General features: G+C 40.2%; 1 pseudogene, besides 2 other annotated features; it reads right to left on the bottom strand.

The window, feature by feature from the left end:
* Positions 312-812: an enhancer, noted in NCBI's record as "H3K27ac hESC enhancer chr11:18977428-18977928 (GRCh37/hg19 assembly coordinates)". NCBI's record gives its function as "activates a minimal SCP1, AML or CMV promoter by ChIP-STARR-seq in primed H9 embryonic stem cells {active_cell/tissue: H9 hESC(primed)}" and the evidence as "EXISTENCE:reporter gene assay evidence [ECO:0000049][PMID:30033119]".
* MRGPRX11P (MAS related GPR family member X11, pseudogene) lies at positions 476-1,663 on the bottom strand (annotated as a pseudogene).
* Positions 2,882-3,431: an enhancer, noted in NCBI's record as "NANOG hESC enhancer chr11:18979998-18980547 (GRCh37/hg19 assembly coordinates)". NCBI's record gives its function as "activates a minimal SCP1, AML or CMV promoter by ChIP-STARR-seq in primed H9 embryonic stem cells {active_cell/tissue: H9 hESC(primed)}" and the evidence as "EXISTENCE:reporter gene assay evidence [ECO:0000049][PMID:30033119]".

The following is a 16,163-nucleotide window of genomic DNA, read 5'->3' on the forward strand; positions in this document are numbered from 1 at the left end:
CATAGAGATAGCAGAACTCATTTATTCAGAATCGAGCTTCCAACTGTGGTAATGCCTCCAGTCATTGAAGGGAACATGATTTTCAGGGGAACATAGTCTGAGAGATTAATAAGGAATCCTCCCTTTTGATATAATCAGGTAGGAAAAAAGTATAAAGAAGAGTTTTAAGGTTTTGGACAGGAATTCCTTTCAATACCAGGTAATTGCAGAAAAAGTGTTCAGCAAGAAAGATTCAATGTAAGATAACAGGAAAAATAGATTGGCAATATCAAGGAGAATCTAAACATTGTATTATCAGACTAATGCTTTCTATGGTTGACAACTGCAACCGTCAGGATAGATAAAAATCCATTTGAAGACCCTGAGGAACCACTGAGACATTCCTGAGGTGCAACGCTAAGAAAAACACATGCAATTGTCAAGGATGGCAGGGCAGTGTTGCTCTCAAAGTCCCATCTGACAGGACAGAGGCTCTTCCTCACTGCCCAAATCTGCTTCCTGACAGCTCCAGGGTTTCCTCAGGAAGCCATCGTCCACCTTCATTCACCTCAGTCGTGTCCTGCAGAGCCCTCTGGAGAACCAGCTTCAGGTTCTGCCTATTTTGACACTGCCTAAAGGAGCCCACGAAGAAGTAAATGTTGGGGTTGGCCGTTAAGAGAGGAAAGGAAAATGGAAACTAGATGAACGTGACAATATAAGACTTCCAAATCCACGTGGTTCCATGAAAATAGGAAAAACCGAATGCCAAAGGGCAGGCCACAGAGGAGGAAGACCAGCGCTATGAGCAGGATGGTCACGTACAGCCTGGTCAGTGGCATCTTCCGGGACCCACAAAGGATCCTGACCAGCAGGACCAGGCTGGAACCACAGAGAGCCACACATAAAAAAATCAGCCCCCCTACTATGATGAAATCTGATGTTTAACACCAAACAGAATCAGCACCACTAAACAGGAAGTCACAGAAACTCCACTCCAGGACGCTCCGCAGCAGAGACAGGGCCCAGAGCATGACACACACGACCGCTGACAGGTGTAGGGGCGGGGGCGGCAGCGCTACCAGATGGGCCACAGGACGTACAGGCAGCGCTCGGTGCTCATGGCGCTTAGAAAGCTCAGGCTTGCAAGGTAGGAAAACATCATCACAGGGCTGAGGATTTTGAAGATGGGATGGAGGATATTGATGAGGCTTAACGGAAAACGTATAATGTGGCTTCTGAGAAAGAGGAAGTCGGCCATGGACAGGTTGAAGATGTAGATGGAGAAGGCGTTCCTGCGCATGCGGAAGCCCAGGAGCCAGAGCACGACTGCATTTCCTGTCATCCCGACAAGGGAAACGATGCACGTCAGCCCTGTGAGGCTCAGGGTTTGCTTGTAGCAAGGAGTCTCCTCACGTCCATTGATTGGTGTCAGTTCTGTACCCAAGGCTGGGATGGTTGGATCCACGCTCAGGAACCCTAGTCTGGTGTCCCTGGGAACACAAACCAGAGGTGATCAACAGCTGTATCATCTCTGATTCTCTGCACCACCCTGCCACGTGGGATTTACTGTCGTCATTTTAAGAGGAGATATCAGAGACGTGCAGAGAATAAGTTACCTATCAAAAGGTGGGGGTCCTGAAATCCAGTTTGAAATCCAGTTCTTGCTGACTCTAAAGCCTGACCTCTCTCTATTGCCACACAAGTTCTATGCTGACATGGGAATAACATTATGGTCAAAACACCCCCACTCAAGTGGCCAGGGCTGTGGACCTGATCATTGCTTTATCCTGGGCCTGAAATTTTCTCTCAGGTGGAGGAATTCAGATACACAAAGAAGTGGTTGTGACACACTCGTGACTAGGACTGGTCATCTATGGACAAGAAAGAAGACCATGCATTATGAACCAGAGGAAAATGTGACCTTCACTAGGACAAGTGTGAAAATGGCTGGGCCTGGTGGTTGAGAAATAACTCAGTGTGTCAGTCATTGCAGACAGGACCACATTTTACATTTTGTACTCCCAGTACCTATTTCCATGAGCAGCACACTGTGCTCTTCATAAATATTCATTCAATGAATGAATGCATGCATGAGGAACTTAATGATAATGGTAGATTTGGGTGAAATGGAAAATAAAAATTAAAGCACAATGTAAGGCATTAGAACACCCATGTTTAATTAGGTACAGAAAATTTCATTCATCAGAATTCTATTTGTGGCAGCTCTATCTGTGTTAAAAAAGAATTACTGATGTGTGCCCCAAACCTGAAATTGACCACTGATGTGCCTTTGAAATGAGGACTCAGTGTGGCTTTGCTGAACACCTAGAAGCATTTTTGTACAGAATATTTGTGTAGGTTGTGGGTCTGAGCTGAAATGCTCAGCAATAGAGCAGAGGAAAGAGTAAGTGAGGGTGAGGTCTGAGTGCCACTGAAGCAGGTAACTGAAGTGTGGGAATATGTATGGGGGGACTACTAAGTGTTCTGCTGGGTATACACAATGTAAACCTGTTTCATTCTCTCTTTCAGGAGATCTTTGGTTTGTTTCTTTGTTGATGTAAACATTTGTGTGAGAGGAGTCCATGAGGGGAAATAGGAGATATGTAGGGCTTGGAGTATAAAGAGAGATATTCATGCAGATTTCAACTGGAGAATGAGGACTGGGTCTAATCTGGGAGAATAACAGCAGCTGATTGAGAGTGTTTAAGATATTGTCTCTTTTCATTATCTGAAGAGCCTAGCAGGTAAGAATGAGTGTTATTCCCATATGGACAATAATACATTGGTACACAAAAAGAGTGAATTATTTGTTCTGGGACTTATATAGTATGATTTGAGGCCAGCAGGGCTGACTCATGATCCAGTCTTGGAGCAGCCCTTTACACCCAGTGCCACTCTGTGTTGATTATACATGTTAGAGGGGGTAAAGCAGAGGAGTGATTCTTAAGATTAAATCCAAGTTGGCAGGCAAAATTGTGGGTTGAAAAAAAAAAACTAACCTAAACAAATTTCAGATAGAGAATGAGAAGCAAATCAAATAGGGAACAATATAGAGGAGAGTGAAGGCATTTAGGAATGAATTCAGGAGTTCCTTTTTGCCTATCAGAGGCCACCTTTGCTCTGGAATCCCAAGAATGCACATGGGCAGGAACTCTTCAGGTGGAAAGGAGACACACCCTCCTCTAGGAATACAGAGGAGCATCAGGAGTGAATGCATCCATCATGAGCTCTCTTAGAGAGACAAGCTGCCACCACCCTGATTGACCCGAAAAGGAAATGAGAGGAAAAGGAGAGCCTCTGTTATCCACACTCAGGGCACTAAACACTTTGTCCATCTATATTTATGGTTTGATATGTTTGTCTTCCTTATGAAACTTGAAGCTCCATTAAGGAGTAAGTCGTGCCTGTCTTTTTCACTGTGGTATCACCAACATTTAGCCTGTGTTCCTTAAAGACCATCTGTGGTATTATCCTCATATAACATAAGATGAAGCTGTGGCCTAGACTAGTAAAGTGTTTTCCTGTGATCACAACAAGAAGAGTAGGTCCAGTACCCGCCCCTGGTCCCTGGAGCCCTGCATGAAACTTCTGTACTGTTCTCTGCCCCATCATTCATTATTTCAGAGGAGCTCCTGAAAAAAATCTTGATGTGAGCACAGAATCAGAGACAGTGAGGGGCTGAAGGAACTGCTAGGTTGCTCCAATGTTGATTTTCCTCTTTGGTCACGACCGAGTCTAAAGGCAGCACAAGGACCCACATTCCAGTTTTCCTTGATGCTGGGTGCCATTGTATGACCAGGTGCTGTTCAGTGAAAGGTGCACAAAAGTGAAGTAAGCAAGTCCTGGCTCATAGAATCAATCAAAAGAGCAAAGCACCTCCTTTTCTTCATCCTTTTCCATCACGCTGGAATGCTGATGTGGCTGTGAACCATGTAGGATCACAAGGATGAGGGAAGCTCCCTGGGGACTGGGGAGTTGCAGTTTTGGAATTCTGATATATGATGTCTTGGAGTTTCCAGCTCAGATCTCACAGATAGTCATCTCTGGGCATTCCCTGGTTCTTGCTCCGGAACCCCAGCACACACCAAAATATGCAGATGCTCAATTTCCTTACATAAAAAGATGCGATATTTGTGCACACCCTATGCTCTTTCTCCCAGATACATTAAATCATTTCTAAGTTATTTAGAATAACTGACAAAATACAACTGCCATGTTAATTCTTGTTTTACTATACTTTTTTTTGGAAGTAATGACAAGGAAAAACAAGTTTCTACCTGTTCACTACATACACACGTCTGCCATACCCTTATTTTTAAAATAGTTTCCACCTGTGATTTGTTGACTCTGCAGATTCAGAATCTAGAGACCTAGAGGCACAACTATACCTTCTTTTTAAAGATATTTCTACTTCATTCTTTATTACAGCCACCAAAATTATATTCTAAACCAAAGAAATATGTTCTCTCTTTTTTAGATTACATTTTATTTTCTATGCATTTTTGATGAATGCAAACATTTCTGCATAGAAGTGACAGTAGAGAAAGATATGCCAAACATTGAAGTGGTCTGATAGAGCTGAAATGAGAAAGAAATCAATCACCTTTAGACAGAGAATGCCCAGTAATTAGGAGGATAGAAGAAGGTGAGAGTGATAGTCTCATTTGCTATGAGGTTTTGCTTTCCATTCTTCTCTATCCTGTTTGACATCCTAAGAGAGTGGCTTTTATGTCCCACATCAGTGGGATTCATTTTAATTCTAGCTTCTGGTGGAATTGTGACACTGCGCCACACCAGCAGGAGACTGGAGGACAGCAGGAGAGCAACTTCAGATTTCCATCTCCTGGCTCTCTGCCTGGGTATTAGTTCATTCTCACATTGCTATAAAGAAATACCTGAGACTGGCAAGTTTATGAAGAAACTAGGTTTAATTGGCTCATTGCTGTATAGGCTATGCAGGAAGCATAGCAGCTTCTGCTTCTGGGGAGGCCACAGGAAGCTTCCAATCATGGTGAAAGGCCAAGGGAGAGAGAGGCATCTCACACGGTGAGAGCAAGAGAAATACAGAGAGAGAGGGAGGCACTACACACTTTTAAACAACTAGATTTCATGAGAACTCACTCACTATCACTACAGCGATACCAAAGGGGGATGGTGTTTATACCATTCATGTGAAACTGTCCCCAAAATCTAATCAGCTCCCACCAGGCCCTCCCTCCAATATTGGGAGTTACAATCAATATGAGATTTGGGTGGGGACACAGATCCAAATCTTATCAGGCTGTGTGGCTGTGTGTTGGCCATGCAAGGCTTCTCCACCTGCCTGCTGGTGCTCTCCCACCCCTATTGCTACAGCTATGGCTATGGCGACAATGGTAATTGCTCCTTCCCTGTCCCTTTCAGCCTAGGGGAGGACTTAGTGCTCCGCTATGTATTGCTGCTTAGAGTGCTGACCCATGCATTGTCTCTTTCCCTTAACCCTGCACATCTTTATAAATACTTCCCTCATGAAACACTCCTCAATCATTTCAGTTGGGACGGTCTGTTTCTTCCTTGAACCTTTCCAGGCAGGCAAGGAAGAAAAATTTAGAAAAGTAAGCAAAACAACAAAACCTGCTTCTACAGCATTTCACCTCTGCGAAGCAATGCCTGCATGTCCTCTAACTCCTTAAATGAATGTCAGAGGAAGCATTCTCTCCATGAGGATAGGTTCAGTGATTGGAATAAAGGAGGTGATATGGGGAGACAAATCAGAAGCCGGGATCCCAGTTGAAGCTCAACACAGTCTGAGTTGGCAGCACTCAGTTTCCAGAAGGAAACATCATGTCTCTTGTCTTTTCCTGAAACAAGCTCATGATCCCCTGCTTGTAGCACCTAGGTGGAAACACAGAAACGATCTTATAGCAAAAGCCATAACTGACTATGGAAGAGGACAGTTCTTGGTACTTACCCTTATCTTTTTCTCTTTTGTCCAGAGGTGAAGACTTCCCTTGTGCTAAAGGTGGAGGGCCTTTCTGGGATTCAGTGACTTCAGAGGACTCTTCTGTGTTGCTTAATTCAGGAGATGCCTACAGGAGCTGGAGTCAAAGCTGGTGGTCAATCCAGGCTTATGAAGATGCTGGACAGACTTGTTATTTCTTGTATGAGGACTATGGACAAATCAGCAGCCAGAGATATTGGAGACACAAACCCTACCTGAGATGATTCTTGGCCTCTGTCCCATATCCAATATATATAAGCCTCTCCCATCACATTCCATCTTATTCAACTTGCTTGATAAAAACAGTGGCAAGGTTTGAGAGAACTGACTTCCATTTTAAAAGAAGTTCTACTGTGTATAAAATGCTATCAAACAGCATTGCATGCTACATTAAAATCTTTCATAAAAGGATGAGTCAATCGACGTGGCAAACTTCACTGTTGTCTTGTTTTAAGATATTGGCACAGCCTGTCTTACCTTCAGCAGCCACTTCAGCAGCCATCAATATCAAGCAAGACCCTCCAGCAGCAAAGCGTTTGGCTTGATAAAGGTTCTGATGATGGTTACCATTTCCTAGTAAAAAAGGATTTTTTAAGTAATGCATGTAGATTGCTTTAGACATAATGTCATTGCGCACTCAATAGACTACAATATAGTATAAGCATAACTTTTACATGTACTGGGACACCAAAAATTCATGTGATTCACTTTACTGTAATATTTGCTGTATTACAGTGATGGAAGAAGACTTGCAATATCTTCAATGTATGCTTATTATGATAAAGGTTGTATATCAACGTAGTGTGTAAAACAGGCACTATTCAATGAATGCTATTAGGACAACTGAGTTGCCATGAGAAATAAAATAAAGGTGGAAACATACTTTATATATGATTTGAGGATAAATCCAAATACACTACTTATAATTTTATAAAGAAAATACAATTACCTGGAGGAGCCATAGCCAAATAGTTTTTAAATCAAAGTGGAAAAAGACTTTCAATTATAGGATACAATTCAGAAGACATTAAATAAAATATTAAAAAAGACAAAAAGAATGCCAGCTGATGGCCCACTTCTATAATCCCAGCACTTTGGGAGGCCGAGGTGAGTGGATTGCTTGAGCTCACAAGTTTGAGACCATCCTGGGCAACATGGTGAAAACCTGTCTCTACAAAAAATACAGAAACTAGCCAGGTGTGGTGGTGCATGTCTGTAGTCCCAGCTACTCGGGACATTGTGGTGGGAGGACGGCTTGAGCCCAGGCTGCAGAGGTCACAGTGAGCTGACATCACATCACTGCACTGGAGTGCAGTTGATAGCACAAGTGTCACAAGACCAGACCTTTTCACAAGACAAACAAAACAACAACGACAACAACAAAAAATACCCAAAAAACCAAAAGCTATTTTTAGCATGACACGAACCATCATAATCAAAATATAAATAAACTGTGGCCAGTCATGGTGGCACACCCCTGTAATCCCAGCACTTTGGAAGGCTGAGGTGGTCAGATCACCTGAGGACAGGAGTATGAAACCAACCTGGCCAACATGGTGAAACCTAGTCTCTACTAAAAATACAAAAATTAGCCGAGTGTGGTGGCGCATGCCTGTAATCCCAGCTACTCGAGAGGCTGAGCAAGAGAATGGATTGAACCTGATAGGCGAAAGTTGCAGTAAGCTAAGATTGCGCCTCTCTGCACTCCAGCCTGGGTGACAGAGCGAGACTCCATCCCAAAAGATAAATTAATAAATTAATAAAATTAAATAAATAAACTGGGAGATTTTTTGGTAATGTATGTTATAGCCAAAGTATAAATTTTCTCTATTGATAAAAATTTTCTAAAATGATATTAATAATTCAAAATCCAAAAAGCTAATAGGAAAATAACTTTAAGTCATGATTCACAATTTCTAGAAAATAAAAATGGCTCCTAAAGATATGGAAAGAGGAGAAATGCAACTCATAATAAAAGACATGCCAATTAAAATTAGAGAGTTACATTTTACTTACCAAAATGTAAAAGGCCATAAAGTTTGATAGATTATCATGTGGGGATGGAGTGGGATCAGGTACCCTCCTCACTCATTTCTGCTGAGGATGCAGATGGATACAACTTCCAGTGAAGGCTATTTTCAACATATGTAAGCAGGTATAAAGTATCATCCTTTTCTCTCTGTAATTCCTCATCTAGGAATTTATCTTAGAGATATATTTGTGCATGTTCAAAAGATCTATGTACTAAGTTAATGAATGCAGTGTTATTTACAGTAAAAGACTGGTGACAGCCAAAATGGCCATCAATACTGTATAAATTATTGTCTATCTGTGCAGTAGAATACTCTGTAGCTGCACAGAAAGAGCAACAAACCTGATATAAAAGGCCCTCCAGAATTTGTTAGCTCTTTTAAAAAGTATGCATGCCAATGTATATATTGTATGACAAAAAATATATATTGTTTTATTATTAAATATTTGTGAATTAATATAAACGTATTAATAAGTATAACAGGATATGTCTTTGTTAACAAGGCAAAGATGCCTGAGGACCTCAAATGGGAATGACAGTTTTCAGCGCATGCATTTAAAGATTGTTTTTGAAAGCTTTGACTTTATTACTATGTCACAAATAAATTTTCAAGCAAAAAACATAAATTTAATGATCTAGCTAAGAGAGGGAGATAGAGATATGAGAAGATATGAGGAAGGATGAAAAAATGAAGACATGAGTGCAGAAAACTCTTTGGAAAAATTTTTTTTTCTAAAGGAAAGAGGACAAATCAGGCTGTGGATAGAGGGGAATGGGGGCTTGGATGGTGTTGTAAACAAGAATAAGATGGGATGTTTCAATTGCAGTGGAAGGATCCATTAGAGAAGGAAACATTGAAGATGCAGGAGGGAGAAGCAATAATGCTATAAAATGTTTCTGGGGAGGCAAAAGGGGAAACTTCACAAATGGAAAGGGTGGTTTCAAACAGGAATTTGCAGAGCCCATTTCCTGGCATGAGAGAAAATGCAGAGAGATGCGCTCAGAGGCAGATGGGCAGGTAGGTTCCCTCTGGGGAGATTGAGTAATTCTCAGAAGAGCATCACCTGACAGAGATTTAAAAAAAATAAAAAGTAGGAGGTTTCAAGAGAGAGATGGCATGAAGATTTTCCTTTGGAGAGTGAGAGGCAATTACGGAAATGTTACATGACTGTTCAGGAGATATAAGTGAACATTTCAGGTTCAAGGTCATAAATGTACAGTGAAACCGCTGGGCATGGTTGTGTGTTGAGCTCCAGCCACACTCAGTTCTATGGGAACAGGCATGAAGTTAGTGGAGAGCTGGATTCAACCAGGGCAAAAGACGAACAGATGCTTCAGCAAAGACATATATGCATGACAAATAAACACGTAAAAAGATGCTCAACATCACTAATGTTTAGGGCAATAAATAAAAACTACAATGAGATACCATTCTACCCTCTTAATATAGCTAAAATATAAAATACTGATAGTTTCAAATACTGGCTGAGATTTGAAGGAATTGGAGGTCTCATACACTGCCAGTGAGAAAGCAAAATAGTATAGGTACTCTGGAAAATCCTTTTGCATTTTCATACAATCCAGCAATTCAGCCATTAAATTTATCCAATAAACTGGAAAACTTTGTTCACTTAAGTATCTGTACATATATGTTTATAGTTGTTTTATTTATAAATGCCACAATAGAAGAAACAGCAATGTCCTTTCACTCATGATTAGTGAAACAAAGCATAGTACATCCATACAATGGAACACTACTCAGTAGTTCAAAAATGAATCAGCTATAAGGTATTTATACCTGCAAAAAGTTGGGTGGATCTTGAGGACATTATGCTGAATTTTAAAAAGTCAAGAGATTAGATACTGTATGATTCCATTTATGTAACACTTTTGAAATGACAAAATTATAGAGATGAAGAATAGATCAGTGATTAGAGGGGTTTGGGAAGAAACATAATTTGGGTGTGACAGCAGGAGGAGCCCAAGGGAATTCTTCTGTGGTGAAGAAACACTTCTATATTCAATGTGATTGTGTTTATGAATCTACACCTGTGATGAAATATTGTGGAATGAAACGTAGAAGGAATACCTCACTCCAAAAATAAGTGCATGCAAACACTGGTAAAATTTGATAACATCGTATTGTAGATATTTGGTGAAATCTCATAAGATTTGTAGTGTAGATAATTAGATGGTACCAATGTCAATTTTCTGGTTTTGGTGCTACATTTACTTAACATGTCAGTATTGCTGTAGGTTGGGTGATGGGCATACAGGAAATCTCTGTACTGTTTTAGTAACTTCTTCATAGTCTACAATTAATTCTGAATGAAAACTTAAAAACAACTGAAATGCCTCTTCATTGTATGGACTATCTTTATGGATGTTGAAGTCACCAAGAATGAGAAAATTGGGTATGCTGGAAGGAAGCTTGCAAACCAGGCACATAGGCTAGAAGGTAATATAATTAGCATTCATACACCCAACACAAAATTAAGCACATATTAAATTTTTATCATATTTGTTTCTAATAACTCTTAAAAATAAATACATACATTTTACAGATACAATTTAAGGCTGAATCTTACATCTTTACTCTCACCAATGATTACACATGTCTTTGATAAGAAGGCAAGGGCGCCTGCACACCTGGAATGGGAATGACAATTTTCTTCAACTTCAGAATGTCTGAGTTTGGTATGTATTATTCTGTCACATGTGTAGCAGCATGTTGAAACAGGAATATTAAATTTCAAGTCACTATAAATATTACATTACAAAAGAGTTGCAAAGTGACACAGAATTTGATTAGGAATTTTTGGACATCCATATCAAGGCTATGCAGAGTTTAGATTTGAATTTTTATGTGACAAATAAAATGTTGAATTTAATTCAAAGATTAACTATCTCCCCTACTCCCAATATGGGCCTTTTGCAGGTAAAAATGCTGCTCCTGAAAAGGGGCTGCATTCCATTGCTTCTCTCTTCTCCTCTAACCCCCACGTGTTTTATTATTATTATTATTATTATTTTAATTTTTTAATTTTTTAATCTATGCCTTCTGACCCTGGAGGGCTGGACATATCCCAGTGAGGAGGGTAAGGAGAGCATGGCATTGACTTTGTGGCATGTCCTGTTGGCCTGACTTGCCTGGCCCTCTCTGGACTTTACATTATTATAGAGTTCACTCCTATGAATATCACAAAACTAACATCAAGCTCTATCACTTCAAGGTCACGAAAGATGATGCTCATTATTCAGAGCACTCCAGTCTTGTGATTCTATTTAAGAGGGATCTTGCCATCATGACCAAATACACAGGGTGACACAAGGAATAAAACTCTGGTGTGAATTATTCACCATTCCCTAAAAAAACTCTGTGCTTTTATTAACAGAGCCACTGTAAATTATCTCTTCTGCCATTTCCATTAGTCCAGATCCTATTTACCAATCCTTGCCCAATACAAACATTTAAGTGACTGGCAAAATCTACAGAGGGTACAATCATAATAATAATGCTGGGTCAATTGTAGTCATCAGTTAAAATTCTACCTATTACACAAAGCCTTCCATGATCCACTCACTGCTACATACACACTCAGGAATGAGATCTGCTCTGTCTCTGCTCTCCTTCCTTGTGTTTTCATCCTGCAAGGTTTCAGAAAAATTTGGACCAATATGATGGGCATGAGCATTGAGATTTCTTCTTCTATACTCTGCTGTAACTGCTAGATAACAGCAAACAAATGTCGTCTATATCTATAGCCAGCATTGATACATTGACACTAATTGTGCCCAAATGATACCACACCGTCATACAGAACAAGCATCAGAGCAGTCTCTTTGGATTCTAGGTCGCTTCCACATAGGTGGGAAGAACATATGCTTACTGGTCGCTGTGTAGTGACATGAATTTCTCAGGCAACCTGGATCACAACACTAGTAATCTTCAGTCCATGGTTATGGTAAAGTCACACTTTACCCACATGTTCTGAAAAGAGATACCTGAGCACAAATGCACAAATGACTGGGGCAATCCCATAACCTCACTTCTGCTTAGTTTGCCTGGAATGAGCATGTGATCCACGTTGGCCATGCAGTCAGCTTGAGAATCCCAAATCCCTGAAACCAGGTCAGGTGTTCTTCCCATTCTAGCGCTTGCACATTCTTCTTCCCTCCATATCCTGGGATTTGTAGATGCTGAATTGGGTTTGCCTGGAGGCAAGGGCTTCTTCTGCAGGAATGCAAGGTAGTGGTAGTAGGTAGTTCTGCAATGCCTGTGACCTAAGCATCTGCAGGGTCTCTAGAAAATGCTTTCAGGAATTGTGCATTGGTGTGATGTTAGACTATAGACTGAGCGCTATTGTAAGATTTAGCCTATTAGTCTTGTAATGTCATCAATTATAGAACTGTTGCTGAGATTGTTGTCTTGCATGAGCAGTCACCTGGTGCACATTCATTCTCTCATTTGTTGGAATCATATTGTCCTGCTTCAGCTGGGTGCTTGGATGTGGCATTCCTCTTGAGGATGGCAGCAAGATAACTGGGAATTTTTAGACACCCTCTCCTCTGAGCACACTTAAGCCACAAACACAACGCTTGGATAGCATGTGTCACATTGGGAGGCAGCCTTTCCTGCACTAGTGTCCTTCCTTCACAGGCTAGGAGCTCTGTGAATGTGGGTATGTTTACTTTGACTCCCAAGTGTCTAGCATGCAAGCTAGAGAATAAAAGATGCTCAGTATATATTTATACAACAAACAGTAGAAAAAGTGAGAGATATTGCTATGTAAAGCCCACTTAATGATATATTCAGGAGTGTAAGTAGATAGATTAATTGAAAATATCTGTTAATCAGTATGCATAAAAAAGGATACATTTGTAACATGAGTATTTCAATTTTACCTAGAATTAATTCACTACAATAGAACTAGGCTGTAGAACAATCCTTTGTGTAGGGTTCGGCATATAGAATTCTACTCTGTCTGAAAGCATATCTATCAATCATTGTCTATAATTTGCAGTGTGGATTAGTTTAAGTGTAGATCTTAGCATCAGATGCATAGCATTCTGTCTGAGGATATTGTTCAATATTGTTCATTTTTGTTTAATCTTGTAGAGTTGGCAGACTCACACCTAGTAAACTAACAATAATTTTGGAACCTGCTTTTATTGTCCATTTACACATTCACATTAGTTTTTATGGAAACCACAATTCTTTCATATTCGTATTTCATTGACTTGTGCTGTATTTTGAAAAATTAGGTAATTATATTGACAAGCCTAATTGGCAAAAGCAGGACAAGAAACAGATCCAGTTGGTTCTTGTGAGTGTGATGGCCCAGTGCCCTTGAGCCCAGGTGTACTAGAGCATCAGTGAATGGCCACGAAGGCTCAGCATTTGCTCCGCATCCATCAGTATATTTTCTTCATGAAGTGGAAAGGATTGGTTATAGATACAGAATGTATTAGTGAGAGACTTATTTGAAAGGTGTTTGCTTTTATGTAGAATTAGCACAGTGCTTAGTGAATTATGTTTGAATGTTAGTTGAATTCATGCCTAAAATATAGTCATGAATGGCAGCTCCCAAAAAGTGCCATGAGAGATTTTCTTATCATTTCTCATTTTCTGGAGAACACTCCTGGATGTACTGCATGCTCTTCCTTGACATAGAACTGAGAGGAAATGATATCATTGACCTTGGAAAGAAGGCAGCTCATGAGCAGACTCCTGCATCCCCTCTATTCTTCTTCCCAGAGGCAGTGAGCAGACCTGCAATAAAAGGGAACAGCTGTTCTCAGAAAGACCAACTGCAGAGGACACTCTGTTAAGTGGAAAGTGCCTATAGGAGATCCAGTGAGACCTGGTGACTGAGCCAGCCTTTGCAAGATGCTGGACAACCCTGTGATTTTCAGGTGGGAGCTACTTGAGAAAAATATTTACCAAGCATCTTCTAAATTCCACACCTAGTCTGTTGCACTAGAAATTCAAGGACATGTTCTTTGCGTCTTAAAGACTTCAGAATGCAGTTGAAGAGAAAGATGTGAGGAAAAGTATTTCAACTATGCTGTTATAAGTTTTATCGTAGAGCAATCTGTGAGGCCAAGTAAGTTCAGAATGGGCTTCATGGACTGAATCTAAGCTTCATGAAGTTGAAGTTTTCTTCTGCCAAAAGAAAAAGAATGTTTCTAACATCAAACCAAGCAATTCCCAGGTGAGGACCAACATTATTTGTTTCAATTGTCAGGTGAATATTCTCTACAAAATTCCTCATGTAGACAACATCTTAGGCCAAAACTGTACAGTTGATATCAGAGACTTCCAGAGTGGACTCTCCCAATAACCCTCAGTCTGAACTGACGACATGACATCAAAGCTCCTTGCCGGGAGCATTGGCTGCAAGCACTGGCTTCCTGTTTTCTCCGACCTGTAGGAAACCCTCACTAACAGCCATGTCCTACTACAGCATTTGGAAATTGAGGGTGGACAGATAGGATTCAGCATCAATGGAGTCTGGGCCTGGAAAAGCAATGGATCTGGACTGAGGGGACCTGAGTTCAACATTGTTAACAGTGTGATAAGAGCCGCTAATAAATTTGGTTGGACAAATTGAAAACTATATACCTCTTTATTGTTTTCATAGCTACTTTACACTGTCTCCTGCATACTCAAATTGCATGTGTCAGCTCCCCTTAGTGAGGGTCAATCTGAGGGGCAGCCTCACTGTCTAAGAGCAGCACAGAGCCTACTGTGATGTCACATCTCTTGGTGGTCTCTTCTGTCTGCTTGAGTTATCTGTGGAAGGGATAATCACTGGTGGAGAATAGTTCTGAATTTTGTACTGATCCTGTGTTTATAATTAAATGTTTTTAATTGTAAAATTTACATAACATACATTTTACAACTTCAACTATTTTAGTTGTAAAATTCTGTTTCATTAAGTATATTCCAATAAGTTGTAACCATTACCACTGTCCCCTTTAAGAACTTTGCATTATTCCACACAGAAAGTCTTTGCTCATTAACTAATGGCTACACATTCCCTCCATCATCCAGCACCAGGCTCCTCCTAACTTATTTTCTGTGTTCACAAATTTCCTAGTTTCAATATCTCATAAAATTTGAACTTACAATATTGTTCTTTGGTTTGGCTTATTTTCCTTAGCACAATGTTTTCAGGTTCATCTATGTCACAGCATGTATTAGAATTCTATACCAACTGTAAGTTATTATCCAGATACTATAATTGACATTAGCATGGAAAGGTCAGATATTTTCAGTTTTGCTTCTCACGTGAACGACCATAAAACTAACTGAAAGTTACAGCCAGAAAAATTTGTGCAAAACCTGGAAGTAAGAAGAATTCTCCTACAACTGAAAGAATCTGTAAGTGAATAATGATTTTTCAAGATAGTTTCCACTTTATAATCAATACTGCCATTTCCAATGGGCAAAATGGAACTGGTGGGGCATATTTACAGGCTCCTCACTGGTCTATTAGTCCAGGAAGAGCTAAATAAGAACTTACCAGTTCTCAAGGGGAAGCGGCCATGGTTGTCTTTACTAGAAATCAAGGCCAGTGTGTCACCATGCTGTGGACAAATGACAGGAGAGGACTTTTCATAAAACCAATTTGTGAGAGTGTTTTTATGAAGAAAGAGTCTGTCTCTAAGGACATTATTTTGCTTTATATCTGAGAATTCAGTGGAATGTAGAGATAACAGAACTCACTTATTCAGAATCGAGCTCCCAACTTCAGTAATGCTTCCAGTCATAGAAGGGAATATGGTTTCAGGGGAACATAGTCTGAGAGATCAATAAGGAAACTTCCTTTTTGATACAATCAGGTAGGAAACGTATAAAGATGAGTTTAGGGTTGTGGAGAGGAACTCCTTTTATTACAATGAAAATTGCAGAAAAAGTTTTCAGTGTAAGATAACAGGAAAAATGTGTTGGTAATATCAAGGAGAATCTAAACATTGTACTGTCAGACTAATGCTTTCTGTGGATGAAAACTGGAACTGTCAGTATAGATAAACATCTATTCGACGACCTTGAGTTACCGCTGAGACATTTCTGAGGCACAACACTAAGAAAACGCATGTAATTGTCAAGCGTGGCAGGGCAGTATTGCTCTCAAAGTCCCGTCTGACTGACAGGGCAGAGGTTCT

The sequence above is a fragment of the Homo sapiens genome, chromosome 11 (assembly GCF_000001405.40).
Source record: "Homo sapiens chromosome 11, GRCh38.p14 Primary Assembly".
Taxonomy (NCBI): Eukaryota; Metazoa; Chordata; class Mammalia; order Primates; family Hominidae; genus Homo; species Homo sapiens.